Genomic DNA, 20994 nt, shown 5'->3' with positions numbered 1-20994 from the left:
GAAGAACTAAACTTTGTAAATCATTCTTAGCTCTTCATTAAAATAGCCATTCAAAGCATTTGAAAATCTCAACTGCCTACTTTCCAGTACTTTCTTTGCCTGCACATATATGCAAATACATATGTGTATGCAGGTGTACAATACTTTCAAGTAATTATGTATATCTATATCTATCTATCTATCTATATATATATGAACTTTTATATAGGATTGTAAGATATATACTTCTACATATAAAATTTGAACTTTTCACAATTTCAGATTCTTCCTGTCTTTGGTGTATCTGCCTTGCTGAGTTCCATGTGGGCTTTATCTTTACATTATGATGGAGGAGAGACAGCTGTGTCCTTGAGAGCAGCATAGAGTTAGCCATAGCATAGTGGGAACAGTCGAGTGTGAAAACAAAGAGGCAACCTGTCTTTATTCTTTATGTTGACCAGGACCTCACAAGTGTACACTGGGCAAAAAAACATACCTGCAGCATAGTCACCTACACTCCCATACACTTCTGCATATCATTTGGGATACATCACAACCCTTCTCAGAAATCTTTCTAGACTGGGCACAAAGAAAAGTGGTAAAATTTTGTAACTGGTCTTGATCCTGCTGAGTCATTCCAGGGCATGACCAGCAAGACTATAGAAACTTACAAGTCAAAGCTTTGGGGCTTTGTGGTGTGTGCCAAGGATAGTTCTGGAAGTAATTTCAGGTCCTGCTCACTCCACATCAGAGGGTTCTCTCATTCTCTATGGAAAAAAGAGAGTGGTAATGGTTTTATCTTGAGAGCTTGAAAGCTTGGCTCTGAAAAGGAGGACTTCTCTTCATAGAGGGATGTAATGTGACCGGCAAGAATTTTGGAACTAAACAAATCAATTTTTTTTTTGTTTGCTATTGCTAAATATATTACTGTGGACGGTTTCCCTGGTCTGAGTCTAAATCTTCTCACCTATGAAATAGGGATAATCATCAAATAATAATGTCAACTTTGCAGCTTTGTAAGCATTATATGAAATAATGTATTCATGCCACTTAAGCATATTGATTTGCATTAGTCAATGTCAGTTTCCCTGTACCTACACTGGAAGTGGGAAAAGGATGCTTGCAGGGAAACCCAACGACCTGCCCTCATCTCTTTCTCAACACAAGAAAAGCCTCAGATTCTGGGGATGTTCCTGTGGGAAGTGGAGCTTGCAGAGATTTGAAGCGGTTTGTGATTTATTTTCTTAAATTCCCACTCCTGTTCCTTCTCTTCTTCTTTTCTTCTGCGAGAGAGGAATTGGAGGGATTCACTTCCTGGGCACAGGTGTACAAAGTGCTCAGTCTCATGGGAGCAAGAAGCATAGTCTGTTCAGCTAAATACCCCAAACTTTCTGTCTTAGTTTGTTTGTGCTGCTATTATAAAAATACCTGAGACTGGGTCATGTATAAACAACAGAAATTTATTTCTCAAAGTTCCACAGGCTGGGAAGTCCAAAATCAAGGCACCTGCAAGTTTGGTGTCTGATGAAAGCTTGTTTCCTATACATGGAGCCATCTAGGCATCTTCACATGGCAGGAGGATCAGAAGGGCAAAAGAGAGGGCTGAATACCGCTTGAAGCCTCCCTTTTAAGGGCATTTATCCCATTCACGAGGGAGGAGCCCCTGTGACGTAATCACCTCATAAAGGCCCCACTTCTTATTACTATTGCATTCAAGATTGTTTCAACATGAATTTTGGAGCAAACAAGTACTTTCCAAACTGTTTTCTTACCAAAATGCTTATTTGTCTTGCAGCATCACATTTCAACATAGAAAGTAGATAGAAATGTGACATATATATGAAGAAATGGTCCTACCCCAAACCCTGTAAGGGTTTGTCCCCAGTGTCCAATGTCTTCTATGATGTAAGAGAATAAACAGGGCCAGCTGTTGGTCGGAATGAACTCATAAACATGTCTCAATATCCACCAGTAGCATTTTTTATTGAACTGCTACAAATTTCCAGTATGATTGACTTTTCTTACCTGTTGTTATTTTTTGTATTTTATGTGCCATTATTAATTATTCAAAATTGGTATCTTGGTTATGCCACTGTTTGACAGAACATGCACACCTCCCCTTAAAAACATATAAAAGATGAGAAACTGCACCCTTGTGAAATTTAGAATCTCTTTGAGACTTTGAGGTTTAGTGTCTAATAATCACTTGGTGATTGAATTTTTATGTTTTTGACATTTTTCTAAATGAATTCTTCTCTGATGCTAAACCTGGAATAGTTGCTTGTCTTTCAGTGCATTGGATTAAATGTTAAGGGGGGAGAGAATCATCCAGGAAATTCCCTTTGGTATTGTAGCAGATGTTAGGCAATAGTAGGGAGTCAATTGTGAAAGGGTTACTAGACATGGTCAGGACCCTGTGATAATCTGATCACTGAGACCTGTTCAAAGCATTCAATATGTGAAATTCAGGCTGATTCAATCATTCTCTATGGCCACCCAGGCAGCTTCCTTGAGTATATTTTTAAAAAATGATCCAGACAGCAGCTGCAGAAAATTTGGGGACACTTTTCCCTTTGAGTGAGCATTTCCAGAAAGAAAAATAAATAAAATGTCAGAGTTGGTTCATCTGGTTTGCAAGGCAAGCTCTCCCTCTTCTATGAAGGAGGTTGAGTTGAGGAACGTTGTGGTTTCTGGGATTCAAAGCCGGAGACACAGCACAACGCACACCTTATTTGAGAGCAATTCACATCATACATTTTCATAAGGCATGGACCAGAAAGCAAGCTTTGTTTTCAAACTGTGTTTCCTTGGCACTGGTTGCAGCAATTTGGTGTGTGGTTCATTGTCAAAATGCTGTGGGTGGCAAAAGCAATCAACTAAGGGTGCATGAAATATTTAAATTGGGGTGGTTTGCTGAGGCCATTTACTCAACTCTTAACACCTGTACTCCAATGACAACAATTAAGCCTCTTGTAGGGTAATACTCTGTATCATATGATGTGAGAGTTGGCAGAAACCATACTGAGCAAACTTTTGTGTACTGGGCCACACAGTAAATATTTAAAGCTTTACAGGCCACACAGTCTCTGTCACAACTACTCATATCTCTTCAATTCTGCCATTATAGAACAAAACCAGCCGTAGACAAGACATAAACAAGTGGGTGTGGTTGTGTGCCAATAAAACTTTATTTATAAAAATAGTCAGTGGCTGGATGTGGCTCACTGATTGCAGTTTGCTGACTCCTGGTTTAGATACTATTGCTTCCTTTTGCAGATGAGGAAAGAAAAACCCAAAAAGATGAAAAGAGCCTGCCACTGTCATGGGCCAGTTAGTGGCAGGACACAAAATATCAAAATTCCATATTAAGTTCTGCTATTTTTTGCTCACGGTTTTATGTTTTGCACATAAAAACAGTCCCTCTGTTGCCTCAGAAGCCTGAAGAAGCAAGAGACAACTTTCCCCTCTAGGTTTTGTCATTACCCTAGCTAAAGCAAATGTCTCCACTTGAGAATGCTACTATTCTTTGACATTTAATATAGAAGAAAACTTTAATAGAATAGACATGTATAAATATGTTTAGGAAATATAAGCATTTCAAATATTGAATTGGTTACTTAAAGCCATAAGGGTAAAATCATTGCTAATAGAGGAGGAAAAAAATGATTTATATATTAATACATCTTTGCTCAGAATGTTGGCATCCTTGTTTTCCAGGATGTTCATTAATATCCTCCATTTATTTTAGTTTTACCAGCCCTTCACATTTTCTGTGAGGCCTTGGTGTTTTGTGAAATGCCAGTTACCGGTGACCTCAACTGCAATAGCACTTATTTCATGTGCTTCTTTTGCCGTATTCTATCCCTTTGGTGATGTTATGACCTACATTATTTTAGTTACATTATTATTTCTTTTTCATAATAGTTAATAAAGGAGAATTAAGCAGTAAAAAGAGAAAAAGAGGATAGATAATTTTTAATGCTGAAGAGAGAGAGAAGGAGAGAGAGAAAGAAAAAGAGAGAGAGTTTGATGGAGACATCACTGATAATTCTCCCTATTAAGAAAAAGAAGAGTAAGAAGTGGGTGAGGATCACAGGCCACCCTGTTATGCTGTGTTTGGATGAGTTCTAGTTCAAGATCCTGCCAGGCAGGGATAGCACTTTATGAAGACCCTAAACTTGGTGGGAGGAAGGATGCTTGCACACTGCCTGGGTTAGTGTTCTAGGAAGCTGACCCAAAGGCTGCTCCCCCCACAGCAGATTCTATGGATCATTAATTCTGATACATATGAACATGTGTTACACAAATAAAATGTTTTTTTACTGAAGTAAATTTGGGAAGTGATGGATTAAACAAAGCCCTAGTCTTTTTATGTGAGGGCTTCTCAAAGCCTTTAATGTGCCAGTTATTTAGGAATCACCAAGACAGGGATAGAGTGTGCAGTGGTTTCCTAACATACCAAATGTTTCAATCATGTTATCACGAAACACTGAATGAGACAAGCAACCCCCAGAACATCTCTGGGAAATGCTGAATTCAGTTCTGCATTGGTGGAGTCTTACTTTCTCCAGTGGCAGACCCAACATATATGTCCTTCAAGGTTAGCTTGGGACCTGCTCAAGAGCAAGACAGTAGAACACTTACTGAATAACTAAAGGATAATTATTGATGGGTCAGCAGGCCAACATGCACAATGACAGAATGCATAGACCTGATTTACTTTCATATCTGTTTTTTCAAATATTCTTTCATTCCTTCCGAATAGTTCTCCCTCTGTGTCATGTATCCTTATTCCTTGTTCCATCCTCCTGATGCAAACAAATGCACAATTAGAGGGTCCCTGATGACCCTGGGGCCCACAGAGGTCTTCTGCTTCTCTTTGGCCATTTTAACTGTGAAACAGAGCCAGAGGTTGTCTGAAGGTGTTTAAGTTTTGAGCAAAGCTCCTTCCACTGCAGCCTCCCCACCTTGTTCCTGCCTCAGGGCCTTTGCCCAGCTCTCCTCTCCTGCCCCTTCCCCTTTTGCACCTGGCACTCCTGGTTTTACTTATCCTGCTTTATTTTTTTCTCATCACTGAGTAGCATTTAAAACACACCATTTACTAACTTATGATAATCAGCCTATTTAATGAATGTTATATTTTGACAATGACGTGTTTAATTTCTCAATTCTCTAATTAGTTTTTATATATTAACCTGGTTTTTTTTATGAATATAAAATCTTTTGAAATTTCTTGTTTGTCTTCCATCCACTTCCCTTACAAACCACAGTTGCTCTTTCTACCTCTTTTATATGAAACTTTCTCTGGGAAACTACACCTTTAATTTTAGCCTAAATTTCTTCTCACCCATCTCCCTAGAAGACTAAACAAGCTCAGGGTAGACTTATTTACAAGTTGTGATATTGACACTAATGATACGTTCATTCAACATCCCTGTTGCAGTTCCTGCTAGGTGAGTTCTGGAGTTCCTGAGGGTTACTCTAATTTGGAACCTATCTGGCTTAACATTGCATTGATTACATTGAACCCACTTACATGAACTCTTCAATCCAAAGAATTTGCATGTGCTTCAGGAGAACCCTGTGATGAGGGTACTAGGAGCCTACCTGTGAGTAAAAACCAGATCCATTTTTGCTTTCCCAGGAACCTCAAAATTCCACAAAACCACATCATTTCCTCTAGTTGTATCTTAGGAGCCTTGAGGTAGGTAGTTGTGTCAAGGCATACTTTATTTCCTGCTGTCCCACCTGCTCACTCCATCTAGTTAGACATCTCGACTTCTTTACTGTTCCTTCAACATACCCAGCACAATCCAGTCTCAGAGCCTTTGCATTAGCTGATTTATATGACCAGACCTCTCCCCTCTCCCCTATATCCACTTTGGTCATTTCTTAGTCTGTTTAGGCTGGTATAACAAAATACCATGGATAGGGTGTCTTAAAAACAACAGAAATCTCTCACAGTTTTGGAGGCTGAAAAGTCCAAGATGAAGGCTCTGGCTGATTTGGTGTCTAGTGAGGACCTGCTTCCTCATAGATGGCCATCTTTTCACGGCAACCTCATATAGTGGAAGGGGCAAGAGATCTCACTGGGGCCTTTTTAAAAATTTTTTAAATTTTTTAATTTTTTTTTATTTTGTGATGGAGTCTCTCTCTGTCACCCAGGCTGGAGTGCAGTGGTGTGATCTTGGCTTACTGTAACTTCTGCCTCACGGGTTCAAGTGATTCTCCTGCCTCAGCCTCCTGAGTAGTGGGGATTACAGGTGCATGCCATCACGCTTAGCTAATTTTTGTATTTTTAGTAGAGATGGGGTTTCACCATGTTGGTCAGGCTGGTCTTGAACTCCTGACCTTGTGATCCGCCCACCTCGGCCTCCCAAAGTGCTGGAATTACAGGCGTGAGCCACCGTGCCCGGCCTGGGGGCTCTTTTATAAAGGCACTAATCCCATCCATGAGGTTTTCTCCCTCATGATTTAATTACACCTAAAGGCTCTACGTCTTAGCATCATCACATTGGGGTTTAGGATTTAACATATTAATATGAGGGGCACAAACATTCACATGAAAACAGGTTGCTCACACCTCTCTCATGTGAAGCCTTTCAGCTAATCACTCCGTTTAGAACAGAAGTAGCCCATTCCACCCTGGTACTCTGATATTGTTTGGCTCTGTGTCCCCACCCAAATCTCACGTTGAATTGTGATCCCCAGGTGTTGAAGGAAGGGCCTGGTGGGAGGTAATTGAGTCATGGGGGCCGACTTCCCCCTTGCTGTTCTGGTGATAGAGTTCTCAGGAGATCTGGTTGTTAAAAAGTGTGTATCACTTCCCCTTTCTCTCTCTCTTGCTCTTGCCATGTGAAGACCATGCCTGCTTCTCCTTCACCTCCTGCCAGTTACCTGAGGCCTCCCCAGCCATGCCTCCTGGACAGCCTGCAGAACTGTGAGTCAGTTAAATCTCTGTTCTTCATAAATTACCCAGTCTAAGGTAGTTCTCTGTAGCAGGGAAGAACAGACGACAACATACTCCTTGTTTTAGTCTTGTATTTCATTTTGACCATACCACTTTAAATCTAATATACTATATATATTTGTTCATTTTTGTTTTGTTAACATAAGCTGTCTCCACTAAAGTATAACCCCCATGAGGCATATTTTCACTGCTGCTTTTCCCCCTTCTTTTACTGCTCCTTCATCCCTAGCACGTGGAATAGTATCGGCACATGGTAAGTTTTCCAAAAGTAGTTTTTAATTAACAACCCGGAGAAGCCATTTTTAGATCAGGCAATAAGTCAGTTGTGCCTGTAAATTGCAATCCATGTAGTACCTTAGCCAGGAGCTGAGGAGACAAGCCGAGGGAATACACAATAACTTTTTCTGCAGATAGTAACAACAGTCATCACCAGTAAGAAACATTCTGCAGATAGTAACAATAGTCATCACCAGTAAGAAACATTCGCCTTTAAATTATCTCACTTGGGTTTTTTTGGAGGGGACTCAAGAGAGCAATCTTAGTGATTCTTTTAAACGATAAGGCAGGTCCTGTCATTCCTCTGCTTAAACCCTTCAATGCCTTTGTGTCTCACTCAAGTAATACCCAGAATCCTTTACCATGATCTTCAAGACTCTGCATGGTCTCTTTCCTTCCCTAGCATTTTCTTTCTAATCCTGCACTATCCACTGATAATATAATATAAGTCACACGTGTAATTTTAAAGATTTTAGTAGAAACATTAAAAAATTAAAAAGTAGGTAAAATCAATTTCAGTAACTGATTTTATTTAACACAATTCCTCTAAAATATTAATTCAACATGCATTCAATGTAAAAAACTTGAAATATTTCATATTCAAAATTCATACTAAGCCTTTTACATATAGGGTATATTTGACTTACAGCACATCTCAATGTCGTCAGCCGCAGTTCTAGGGCTCCATAGCCGTATGACACTGGTGACTACCATATTGGACAGTCTCTTCTTCATCTTCTCTCCCTCAGATGATCCTGTTCAAGCTGGCTTGGACTCCTGTAATAGTGCAAACACATTTTCACGCCGGTAAAGTGCTAGATTGAGCAAATACAAATAGGGAATTGAACAATGAGAACACACGGACACAGGAAGGGGAACATCACACACCGGGGATGTGTACCATATCTTAGCTGATGAACCTATAGATACAATATGACATCCCTTGTCTTCTGCTCTGGGGGTCAAACCTCTTTGGTGGCAAAAAGGACCATGAGATCAATGGAGGGAACTGTTGTAACGCAGATAATCTGTTTATGAAGACAAAATTGGTCAAGAATATCAATAGGAAAATATTAATTTTTCATACCTTTATACAAAATACTTTCTCATATCGATTCAGTCTTACATTTTGCATGCATTTCTAAAACTCCCAGCAGGTCCTCATTCCTCTAATAGCCATGAGTGTGCTCATATCCTTTTTTTCCTTTACTTTACACTTGTGTGACCAAGTACCTTTCATGAAGCTCAAAATGGGTTTCTCCTGCCTTTGCCATGTTTAGCCTAATTCTATTGATTTGACACTGTTTTATTTCCCAGTAAAATGTAACAAACAAAATAAGCCCAGATATACATAGCTACATAATTTTACCTTTTATGTGGTGCATCACTGACAAAATATATATAATATATACGCAGGAATATCTTATTTTATTGTGTTTCTCTCTATTGCACTTTGCAGATAATGCATTTTTTGCAAATTGAAGGTTTGTGGCAATTCTGTGTTAAGCAAGTCTTTTGGCACCATTTTTTTCCAACAGCACGTGCTCACTTCAAATCTCTGTTTCACATTTTGGTAATTTTTGCAATATTTCAGACTTCTTCATTATTATTAAATGTGTTGTGGTGAACTGTGATCAGTGATCTTTGATGTTACCATTGTATTCTTTTGGGGCACCGCAAACCATACCCATGTAAGATGGTGAAGTTAATAAATAAATATTGTGCGTGTTCTGACTGCTACACTGACCAGCATTTCCCCATCTCTGTCTCTCACTGGGTCTCTCTGTTCCCTGAGACACAACAATATTAAAATTAGACTAATCAATAACCCTATAGTGACCTCTAAATGGTCAAGTGAAAGCAAGTGTTCACATTTTTCACTTTAAATCTAAGCCAGAAATGATTAAGCTTAGTAAAGAAGGTATGCTGAAATCCAAGCTAGACCAAAAACTAAGCTTCTTGTGCCAAACATTTAGCCAAGATCTGAATCCAAGGAAAGGTTTTAGAAGGAAAATAAAAGAGCTATTTCAGTGAACACACAAATGACAAGAAAGCAAAACAGCCTTATTGCTGATGTTGAGAAAGGTTAAGTGGTCTGGATAGAAGATAAAACCAGCCACAACAATCCCCACAGCAAAGCCTAATTCAGAGAAAATCCGTAATTATCTTCAATTCTATGAAATTGAGAGAGGTGAGAAAGTGACAGAAGAAAAGTTGGAAGCTAGCAGATGTTAATTCCTGAGGTTTAAGAAGACATCTCCATAGCATAAAAGTACAAGGTGAAATAGCAAATGCTGATATACAAGTTGAAGCTAGTTTTTCAGATCTAATATAATCGATAAAGGTGGCTACATTACACAACAGATTTAATAGATAAAACAGCCTTATATTTAATAGATACAACAGCCTTATATTGGAAGAGATGCCACTTAGAACTTCCATAGCTAGAGATAAGTCAACGCCTGCCTTCAAAGCTTCAAAGGACAACAGGCTGACTCGCTTGTTATGGATGAAGGCTGCTGGTGACCTGAAATTGAAGCCAATGCTCATTTTGCATGCTGAAAGTCATAGGACCCTTAAGAATTATGCTATATTTCCTCTGCCTTTGTTCTATAAATAGAACAAAGCCTGAATGACAGCATATCTGCTCCGAGCATGGTTTAATGAGTATTTTAAGTCCACTGTTGAGACCTACTGCTTAGAAAAAAGATTCCTTTCAAGACATCACTGCTCATTGACAATGCACCTGGTCACCCAAGAGCTCTGATAGAGATGTATAAGGAAATATCCTTAAAGTTTTCATGCATGCTAACACAACATTCAATCTGTAACCCATGGACCAAGGAGTAATTTTTACTTTCAAGTCTTAGAATTTAAGAAATACATTTTGTAAAGCTATAACTGCTGTACGTAGTGATTTCTGTGATGGATCTGGGCAAGGTAAATTGAAACCTTCTGGGAAAAATTTACAATTCTTAATGCTATCCACTGATGGATAACATTAAGAATATTTGTGATTCATAGGAGAAGGTAAAAATAGCAACATTAACAGGATTTTGGAAGCTGTTGATTCCACTCATCATTGATGACTTTGAAGGGTTCAAGGCTTCAGTGGCAGAAGGAACTTCAGATATGGTGGAAATAGCAAGAGATATACAATTTAAGTAGAGCCTGAAGACGTGACTGAATTGTTACAATCTCATAATAAAATTTGAAAGAATGAGGAGTTTGCTTCTTATGAATATGCAAAGAAAGTGGTTTCTTGAGATGGAATCTATGAATACTCCTGGTGAAGATACTGTGAACAATTGTTGAAATTACAACAAGGAATTTATTTTTTATTTTTATTTATTATTATTATACTTTAAGTTTTAGGGTACATGTGCACAACGTGCAGGTTTGTTACATATGTATACATGTGCCATGTTGGTGTGCTGCACCCATCAACTCATCATTTAGCATTAGGTATATCTCCAAATACTATCCCTCCCCCCTCCCCCCACCCCACAACAGTCGCCAGTGTGTGATGTTCCCCTTCCTGTGTCCATGTGTTCTCGTATTTCAATTCTCACCTATAAGTGACAACATGCGGTGTTTGGTTTTTTGTCCTTGCGATAGTTTGCTGAGAATGATGGTTTCCAGCTTCATCCATGTCCCTACAAAGGACATGAACTCATCATTTTTTATGGCTGCATAGTATTCCATGGTGTATATGTGCCACATTTTCTTAATCCAGTCTATCATTGTTGGACATTTGGGTTGGTTCCAAGTCTTTGCTATTGTGAATAGTACCGCAATAAACACATGTGTGCATGTGTCTTTATAGCAGCATGATTTATAATCCTTCGGGTATATACCCAGTAATGGGATGGCTGGGTCAAATGGTATTTCTAGTTCTAGATCCCTGAGGAATCACCAAACCGACTTCCACAATGGTTGAACGAGTTTACCGTCCCACCAAGAGTGTAAAAGTGTTCCTATTTCTCCACATCCTCTCCTGCACCTGTTGTTTCCTGACTTTTTAATGATTGCCATTCTAACTGGTGTGAGATGGTATCTCATTGTGGTTTTGATTTGCATTTCTCTGATGGCCAGTGATGATGAGCATTTTTTCACGTGTTGTTTGGCTGCATAAATGTCTTCTTTTGAGAAGTGTCTGTTCATATCCTTTGCCCACTTTCTGATGGGGTTGTTTTTTTCTTGTAAATTTGTTTGAGTTCATTGTAGATTCTGGATATTAGCCCTTTGTCAGATGAGTAGTTTGCAAAAGTTTTCTCCCATTCTGATGGTGGTTTCTTTTGCTGTGCAGAAGCTCTTGAGTTTAATGAGATCCCATTTGTCTATTTTGGCTTTTGTTGCCATTGCTTTTGGTGTTTTAGACATGAAGTCCTTGCCCAGGCCTGTGTCCTGAATGGTATTGCCTAGGTTTTCTTCTAGGGTTTTTATGGTTTTAGGTCTAACATGTAAGTCTTTAATCCATCTTGAATTAATTTTTGTATAAGGTGTAAGGAAGGGATCCAGTTTCAGCTTTCTACATATGGCTAGCCAGTTTTCCAGCAGCATTTATTAAATAGGGAATCCTTTCCCCATTGCTTGTTTTTGTCAGGTTTCTCAAAGATCAGATTGTTGTAGATATGCGGCATTATTTCTGAGGGCTCTGTTCTGTTCCATTGGTCTATATCTCTGTTTTGCTAACAGTACCATGCTGTTTTGGTTACTGTAGACTTGTAGTATAGTTTGAAGTCAGGTAGCATGATGCCTCGAGCTTTGTTCTTTTGGCTTAGGATTGACTTGGCAATGCGGGCTCTTTTTTGGTTCGATATGAGCTTTAAAGTAGTTTTTTCCAATTCTGTGAAGAAAGTCATTGGTAGCTTGATGGGGATGGCATTGAATCTATAAATTACCTTGGGCAGTATGGCCATTTTCACAATATTGATTCTTCCTGTCCATGAGCGTGGAATGTTCTTCCATTTGTTTGTGTCCTCTTTTATTTCGTTGAGCAGTGGTTTGTCATTATCCTTGAAGAGGTCCTTCACATCCCTTGTAAGTTGGATTCCTAGGTATTTTATTCTCTTTGAAGCAATTGTGAATGGGAGTTCACTCATGATTTGGCTCTCTGTTTGTCTGTTATTGGTGTATAAGAATGCTTGTGATTTTTGCACATTGATTTTGTATCCTGAGACTTTGCTGAAGTTGCTTATTGGCTTATGGAGATTTTGCCCTGAGATGATGGAGTTTTCTAAATATACAATCATGTCTTCTGCAAACAGGGACAATGTGACTTCCTCTTTTCCTAATTGAACACCCTTTATATCCTTCTCCTGCCTGATTGCCCTGTCCAGAACTTTCCAACACTATGTTGAATAGGAGTGGTTAGAGAGGGCATCCCTGTCTTGTGCCAGTTTTCAAAGGGAATGCTTCCAGTTTTTGCCCATTCAGTATGATATTGGCTGTGGGTTTGTCATAAATAGCTCTTATTATTTTGAGATACATCCCATCAATACCTAATTTATTGAGAGTTTTTAGCATGAAGGGCTGTTTTATTTTGTCAAAGGCCTTTTCTGCATCTATTGAGATAATCATGTGGTTTTTGTCATTGGTTCTGTTTATGTGATGGATTATGTTTATTGATTTGCATATGTTGAACCAGCCTTGCATCCCAGGGATGAAGCCCACTTGATCATGGTGGATAAGCTTTTTGATGTGCTGCTGGATTCAGTTTGCCATTATTTTATTGAGGATTTTTACATCGATGTTCATCAGGGATATTGGTCTAAAATTCTTTTTTTCTTTTGTTATGTCTCCGCCAGTCTTTCATATCAGGATGATGCTGGCCTCATAAAATGAGCTAGGTAGGTAGGATTCCTTCTTTTTCTGTTGATTGGAATAGTTTCAGAAGGAATGGTGCCAGCTCCTCTTTGTACCTCTGGTAGAATTCAGCTGTGAATTCTGGTCCTGGACTTTTTTTGGTTAGTAGGGTCTTAATTATTGCCTCAATTTCAGAGCCTGTTGTTGTTCTATTCAGGGATTCAACACCCTCCTGGTTTAGTCATGGGAGGGTGTATGTGTCCAGGAATTTATCCATTTCTTCTAGATTTTCTAGTTTATTTGTGTAGAGGTGCTTATAATATCCTCTGTTGGTAGTTTGTATCTCTGTGGGATCGGTGGTGATATCCCCTTTATCATTTTTTATTGTGTCTATTTGATTCTTCTCTCTTTTCATCTTTATTGGTCTTGCTAGTGGTCTATTAATTTTGTTGGTCTTTTCAGAAAACCAGCTCCTGGATTCATTGATTTTTTGAAGGGTTTTTTGGTGTCTCTATCTCCTTCAGTTCTGCTCTGATCTTAGTTATTTCTTGACTTCTGCTAGCTTTTGAATGTGTTTGCTCTTGCTTCCCTAGTTCTTTTAATTGTGTTGTTAGGGTGCCAAAGTTGAAATGAAGGAAAAAATGTTAAGGGCAGCCAGAGAGGAAGGTCGGGTTTCCCACAAAGGGAAGCCCATCAGACTAACAGTGGATCTCTCGGCAGAAACTCTACAAGCCAGAAGAGAGTGGGGGCCAATATTCAACATTCTTAAAGAAAAGAATTTTCAACCCAGAATTTCATATCCAGCCAAACTAAGCTTCATAAGTGAAGGAGAAATAAAATCCTTTACAGACAAGCAAATGCTGAGAGATTTTGTCACCACCAGGCCTGCCTTACAAGAGCTCCTGAAGGAAGCACTAAATATGGAAAGGAACAACTGGTACCAGCCACTGCAAAAACATGCTAAATCGTAAAGACCATTGATGCTAGGAAGAAACTGCATCAACTAATGAACAAATAACCAGCTAACATCATAATGACAGGATCAAATTCGCACATAACAATATTAACCTCAAATGTAAATGGGCTAAATACTCCAATTAAAAGACACAGACTGGCAAATTGGATAAAGAGTCAAGACCCATCAGTGTGCTGTATTCAGGAGACCCATCTCACATGCAGAGACACATATAAGCTCAAAATAAAGGGATGGAGGAAGATCTACCAAGCAAATGGAAAATAAAAAAAAAAAGCAGGGGTTGCAATCCTAGTCTCTGATAAAACAGACTTTAAACGAACAAAGATCAGAAGAGACAAAGAAGGCCATTACATAATGGTAAAGGGATCAATTCAACAAGAAGAGCTAACTATCCTAAATATATATGCACCCAATACAGGAGCATCCAGATTCATAAAGCAAGTCCTGAGTGACCTACAAAGAGACTTAGACTCCCACACAATAATAATGGGAGACTTTAACACCACACTGTCAACATTAGACACATCCATGAGACAGGAAGTTAACAAAGATATCCAGGAATTGAACTCGGCTCTGCAGCAAGTGGACCTAATAGGCATCTACAGAACTCTCCACCCCAAATCAACAGCATATACATTCTTCTCAGCACCACATCGCCCTTATTCCAAAATTGACCACATAGTTGGAAATAAAGCACTCCTCAGCAAATGTAAAAGAATAGAAATTATAACAAACTGTCTCTCAGACCACAGTGCAATCAAACTAGAACTCAGGATTAAGAAACTCACTCAAAACCGCTCAACTACATGGAAACTGAACAACCTGCTCCTGAATGACTACTGGGTACATAAGGAAATGACAGCAGAAATAAAGATGTTCTTTGAAACCAATGAGAACAAAGACATAACATACCAGAATCTCTGGGACACATTTAAAGCAGTGCGTAGAGGGAAATTTATAGCACTAAATGCCCACAAGAGAAACAAGGAAAGATCTAAAATAGTATACATTTTCATATCAAACCAAGGGAATTACACTTACTGAATTATCAAACTTTTAAAACATTTTTCCTTTGATAGATTCAGATTTCTTTCCAGATATAAAAAATCAGTACTCATGGTATGTTAATTTTTATAATGTTATATTTTGTATTTAAGCAAGAACTCAAAATACATATGGCACACATGGGTATGAGCTGGTGATTTTCTGTCTTTTCCTGATCCTTGCTTGGAATGTCTTAGAGTGGTTTCAATCAACAATTTTCAAACTTTGGCAAGCACCAGAATCATCTGGAGGACTTCTTAAAACTGACAATTGGGCCCTGCCCCCAGAGTTTCTGATTTAGTGGCATTTCTAACAAATCCTCTGGTGATGTTGATGCCACTGGTCTAAGAATATCACCTTAAGAACCACTGGTGTGTATGGTTTTCCGTGTGTTATGAATTCAGCACTACCTGCATCAAAAGAGAAAGAAATACCACCACCTCTGCCACCTTGGAGTGCACTGGGAAACTTGAAGACATTGAGCATCACAAAAGCGACATTTATTCTTGGTGGGAAATAAAAGTGAACAGCAGAACCTAGACAACTTTTTTTTAAAATAAATTCCTCTCATTGCTTTGTATTTCTGCGGGCTGAAATAGAGACCGAGCTATCTCAGGCTGAGCTTTGCCATAAAACATTTTTACTTATTCTTCCTATTTTTTTTGTGACATTCTTTTTTTTTTCACAAGAAGCTTAATTTCTCAGAACCCTCGGCTATATTCACAGAATTATTTTTTATTATCAGCTCATTATTTTACTATCTCCTAATTTACAAATGCTAGTTAAAATTACAAAAAAAGTATTTATTTAAAAATATTACGAACATATGTTAAACGTTGTAAAATTCAAAAGGTTCTCAAGAAACAAAATTTTTGGTCCGGGTAATATGATATTCTCAGGTTTACTAAAACCATCACAAACAAGCTACTAGTCCAGTATTTTAAACATAAAAATTTACATAAACCTATAACTGCTATTTTCATTCTTTGATAATTGCACTATCACCACAAAGAAATAAACACCTACTATTCACGAAAATAAATTCACAAAAATATTTTCTCCCTGTTGTAAATAGAAACATCAAATAATTAGTTTTCTAAAATGAAAATTGTCAAGTTTCCTAGGGCTTTGTTCTACACATAAGAATCCTTTGTTTTCAACGCAGGCCATTTCCTTTGCTCTAATTCTGGGATTATTGATATGAGAGTTTGTCCAGGAGGTAGCAGGAAGCTGGGCCCTGTGGTTGTACTGCAGAAGCAGTTAAGAAAGGAAAACTAGCAGAGGTATTTTTCAATGAAGGGGCAATCAATAAAAGACTCTGAGAGCAAGGAACAGAAATTTAAGTGGATTCTGATAAGCACTGGATGAGAGTCTCCAGAAGTGGACAGGTATTGAACTTGTTCCAGTACGTTTTTTTTTTTAATTTTATTTTTTTGTTCTTGTTTCCAGGATGTTCTTACTATTCCAATTTCCCTTTTGGCTAAGTATAATTGATTAATTTTTTTGGTCCATTCCCAATCTTATTGTAATACCTGTCAGGAGAATGAATATATAATACTATTCTTTTCTCATTACCATCTTAATATTGTCACTAGAAATAACTAACGTGCCATTCTGTACTATTAAGAGATTTGTTACATGAACGATAAAGAACTAACCTTCCTTATCTCATTCTATAGTCCCATTTTCCATGCAAAGGAGCTGGTTCAGATAAAAATTAGCTTCGTGCTCAGGTTAAATTCATTCTGTGAAGTGATAGTAGTTCAAATGCATTATAGGAGGATTCTCCTGTTCTAAGTTCTGATGTGGGAGGATTTGTCTAATGTTAAAAAAAATGCATATGAAATATAAATGGTAATTTCAATGCATTTAAAAGAATAAAATAGGCCTTGTTATGCAAGCCTTCTTTTGTATATAATATGAAATGAGAAAAATGGAATATCTTCACCATAAATTAAAGTTAGAATCATTGGGAAGTTCTATCTATGAATATGTGTGTGCATGCATGCTTGCACATGTATTTCATATCCTTTACAAAATTACAGATCTTCTAGATTTAGGTAACCATGATAAGGTCATGTTAAAAGAATATATCATTACCTATTATAGATCCTACTCTTTACATAAAAAATAAGCATAGAAATGTGAGGATTTTTGAAGATAACTTCTAAAAAATGTTTAAAAGACATATGGCTTACCTGAAGAATCTTCTTTGACTGAAAACAAAAAGGGGGGTGGGAATCCATATATATATATATATACACACACACATGTGTATATATACATATATACACACGTATATATATACACACGTGTATATGTGTGCATACACATGTGTATATGTGTGTATGCACACATATATGTGTGTGTATATATGTGTATGTATACACGTGTGTGTGTGTGTATATATCAGCAAGCAGATCTCAGCAGATATTTATTAAACACACTTGAGGTGAACCACTCAGTAGAAGTAAGGCCAGCAGAACACTGCTGTGTGTTTGGAGCAGTTCAAAGGTGCTTCCAGATAGATCTTTTGGAAAAGGATTTCTCTGTGTGTGTGTGTGTGTGTGTGTGTGTGTCTTTATCTATGTGTTTATTGGTACTTTCAAGGAACAACAAGGGCATTCATAAATTGACTGTTTAGTAGAGGCCACAGTGTATTTCAGTCATGACACACGTATGGTCTGCTTTCTCTTTACAAACTACGTGAGGTAAGATTTTATTCTCTTATTTTACAGATAAGGAAAAGGGCTCGGGGAGGTTAAGAAAAATCCTCAATGTCACACAGTTACTAAGTAGCAGAGGCATAATTAAAACCTATTTCAATTTAGCTCCAAAGTCAGTGTATTTTCTCCTCAGAATGCAGAAAGCCTTCTAAGAGAGAATTATGATTCTCCATGCCATGTAAAATAACTGATTATAGACAAATAAAAATTTGTGTTTTCCTAACTACAAGTACATAGGTGTATTTTCTTAGATTGTAGCTTGTTACGATTTTGAAATTATAATTATTACATATCAAATATCCTAAGTGTATAGCACTTACTACAATATACATGAATAGATGCTTTGATAGTGTTGCTGCTACTGTTAATAGTTAACGCTAATTCAATAAAGGCACATTCACTTTTGTGAGCTTTTGGTGAATTAGGGTTTTTAAAGAAACTAAGCAGAGCAGGTAACTACGTCCTATAAAACCCTAATCTAACAACAGTCTGGGGTTACTGTGTAGGTTTTCATAATTACTGGGAGGTTTGTGTGGGCACTGGATATAGACTTTAATGACTCTAAGATAATAGATAATGCTTCTTAGTATAAAGAACTAAGTTAATTCAACAGCCATTAGGAGAAACTAAAATTTCCAACCAGATCTAGGCCCGATGATATTGAGTTATCTGGGTGTTTCAGCATCAAACTTCAGGGCCACCAACCTTGATTTTTAGTTCATTATGGAAACTAGTGCCCAATTAAAATATTCCTTGGCAAGCAACTTTCTGGAGTTAGGCAGACTAATTACTGTAGGGAATGAGGAGAAAGTCATGCTCTAAATCATACTGTCTGACCTCAGAAGGAGGAGCAGTTTAGTGCCAAGAATACAGCTATAGAGCGTAGTAAATAAAAAGGAATAAAATTTGCAGATATTAAATCATACCTACCTGAAAGGGCACTGAATAATATTATACATCATTCTTGGGTTTATTTGATAGCCATTTGGAAGTTGAATGTGCATGAAATGTTTTACAAATTTATAATTTACAAATTACAAAATGTAAAACATTTAAGAGGTTTTACAATTTGTGCCTACAACATTTAAGTTATTAACCTATTAGTATTTTAAAGTTACTGTTGTATTGAAACTGGTGTTACTATTATCATATTTATCATATAATACCAAATAATGAACTGTAATATATCATGTAACAACTGCTTTGAATTATTTTTCAACTAATGAAGGTGAATTTGGTGTGCTGTCCTTGATTTTTTAAAATTTTTATCCACTGTATTTTATTGTTATAGTCACATGCAAGAAATAAGCAAGGGGAACACAACATTTTCTTGAGCATAAGAAGGGTGACATCCTCTGACATATTTTTAAATAACTTACACCTTGAGAAGGAACCTACATATAACAGTAATTCTTATTGTTCCTAAATAATAATCTCAGTAGATGTGTAACCTCTTCCTGAAAGTTTGACCTGCTTCCCATTTCAGCTAGAAAAAATGAGTGATGTCATCACACATCACATGAAAATCTAAATGATTGTAATGTATAACACATACACATGTGCTCACACATAAATACACAGAAATAAGCCTCAGCAGAATTTTATAAAGAGAGAAAGGACTTCGGTTTGCTTTTCTACTCTAGAAACAAGCATGCTGACTCCTATAGACAGGTGGATTCCATTTAATCGAGTCTTTTCAGATGGTAACAGCTAGATATTCTTTAAGAAGTGTGTAAAGATGAAAAAAGGGAGATTTTTTGCAAAGACTAAAACCCAATTCAAAAAAATAGAATTTTACAAATATCTACCCATAAATAAAAGTAAAATGGATATATATTTCTTTTTAATGTCAACTTGCTGACTTTGCTTAAGAAAAAATGATAAACCTTAAACCACATGGCTTACAAACTGCTGAACTTTTAGATTGTATCCTATGTTGTTTTTGTTCCAGTCATCTACTTTGCTGGGATGACTTCTTGCTTTAGGACTGTATTACTAAATCATATGTATGTATGTATGTATTACTTATGTACTTGCTAAAAGTACATCTTACTTGTTTTCAAGTAATGAGTCTTAATTAATTTATGCTCATGCATGATTTTGCTCCTTTCTAATAAGCTCTGCAGGATGCTGGCCATAGTTGAGAGATGTTTCAGCTCTTGCTCTCTTTGGCAACTGTATTATTTATGCTCAACATATATTTGATTTACATTGGTGATGATGTAGAATTTTGAACCCCTTTTCGTACAAAGAGTTGCTGCCTATTTAAGATGCAAACAAAAAATTGATCCTCCATCTTTTTACCATTGTGAGATTGCTTCTTTAGCATTATTAAATATTTCCTTGGCAGTCACAATTCTGACATGACTCAGGACATTATTTCTTTAACACTTTCCACCCGTTATTGTGAAACATCCATTGTCCTGTGGCTGAAGGCCCTTTATGTTTAGTGAGACTTGAGGCTTCATGGTCAGAGCTGTATAAAGAAGAATTTGAAAGTTTGTAGAATTTTTGTGGTAGTTCTTCTTTTTGAGTGATGAAGGACCATCTGTGATCTTTACAGCAGCACTGTTCAATAGAACTTTCTGGGATGATGAAATTGTTCTATATTTGTGCTGTCCAGGATGGTAGCCACCAGCCACATTTGCTATTGAGCACCTGAAGTGTCACTTGTTTTATTTAATTTAATTAACCTAAGTATGATTTAAATAGACAGTTATGGCTAGGGGCTGCAATATTCAATAATGCAGCCTTAGAGGATAACCAGAAAATTTGTCCAGAAATTTGTTTTGGAATCTATCTGTGTAGCTCTATTTAATATTGGGATTTGTATTACTGATTTTTAGCCATAGTATGGTGATAATGACTGAGAGAAAATATCTGTCTATCTATCTCTATCTCTATCTATCTATCTATCTATCTATCTATCTATCTATCTATCTATCTGTTTGTGTGAGTGTGTGTGTGTAATTACCTTTCAAGGAGCTATCGGTAGTGATAGAGAGATGAAAGAGAATTTCTGTATATAAAATGTGTTCATCAGTAGGTTGATATTTGGAAGACAAAAATCAAGGAGATTCTTTTACTACATGAGAACTTGTACCTGAGTTTCCCTAACCCTTAGAACTTCTGGTATCCTACAAATATAATTGTATTTTCAGAATCTGGCATTTAACCTTTTGAATGGATTAGATGACACGTGGTAATACACTGGC

General features: G+C 37.3%; 1 long non-coding RNA gene across 1 annotated transcript; it reads right to left on the bottom strand.

The window, feature by feature from the left end:
* Window positions 1-657: 657 nt before the first annotated feature.
* Window positions 658-8274, bottom strand: LOC107987084 (uncharacterized). The gene is made up of 3 exons (XR_001746764.2): window positions 8127-8274; window positions 7873-8002; window positions 658-746 (listed from the first exon to the last, which is right to left on the bottom strand). It is a non-coding gene; the product is annotated as an uncharacterized LOC107987084 (long non-coding RNA).
* Between the last annotated feature and the right edge of the window lie 12720 nt (window positions 8275-20994).

The sequence above is a fragment of the Homo sapiens genome, chromosome 9 (assembly GCF_000001405.40).
Source record: "Homo sapiens chromosome 9, GRCh38.p14 Primary Assembly".
Lineage (NCBI taxonomy): Eukaryota > Metazoa > Chordata > Mammalia > Primates > Hominidae > Homo > Homo sapiens.
Note: the sequence above shows the minus strand (reverse complement) of the source record. Positions and strands in the feature narration are given on the sequence as shown.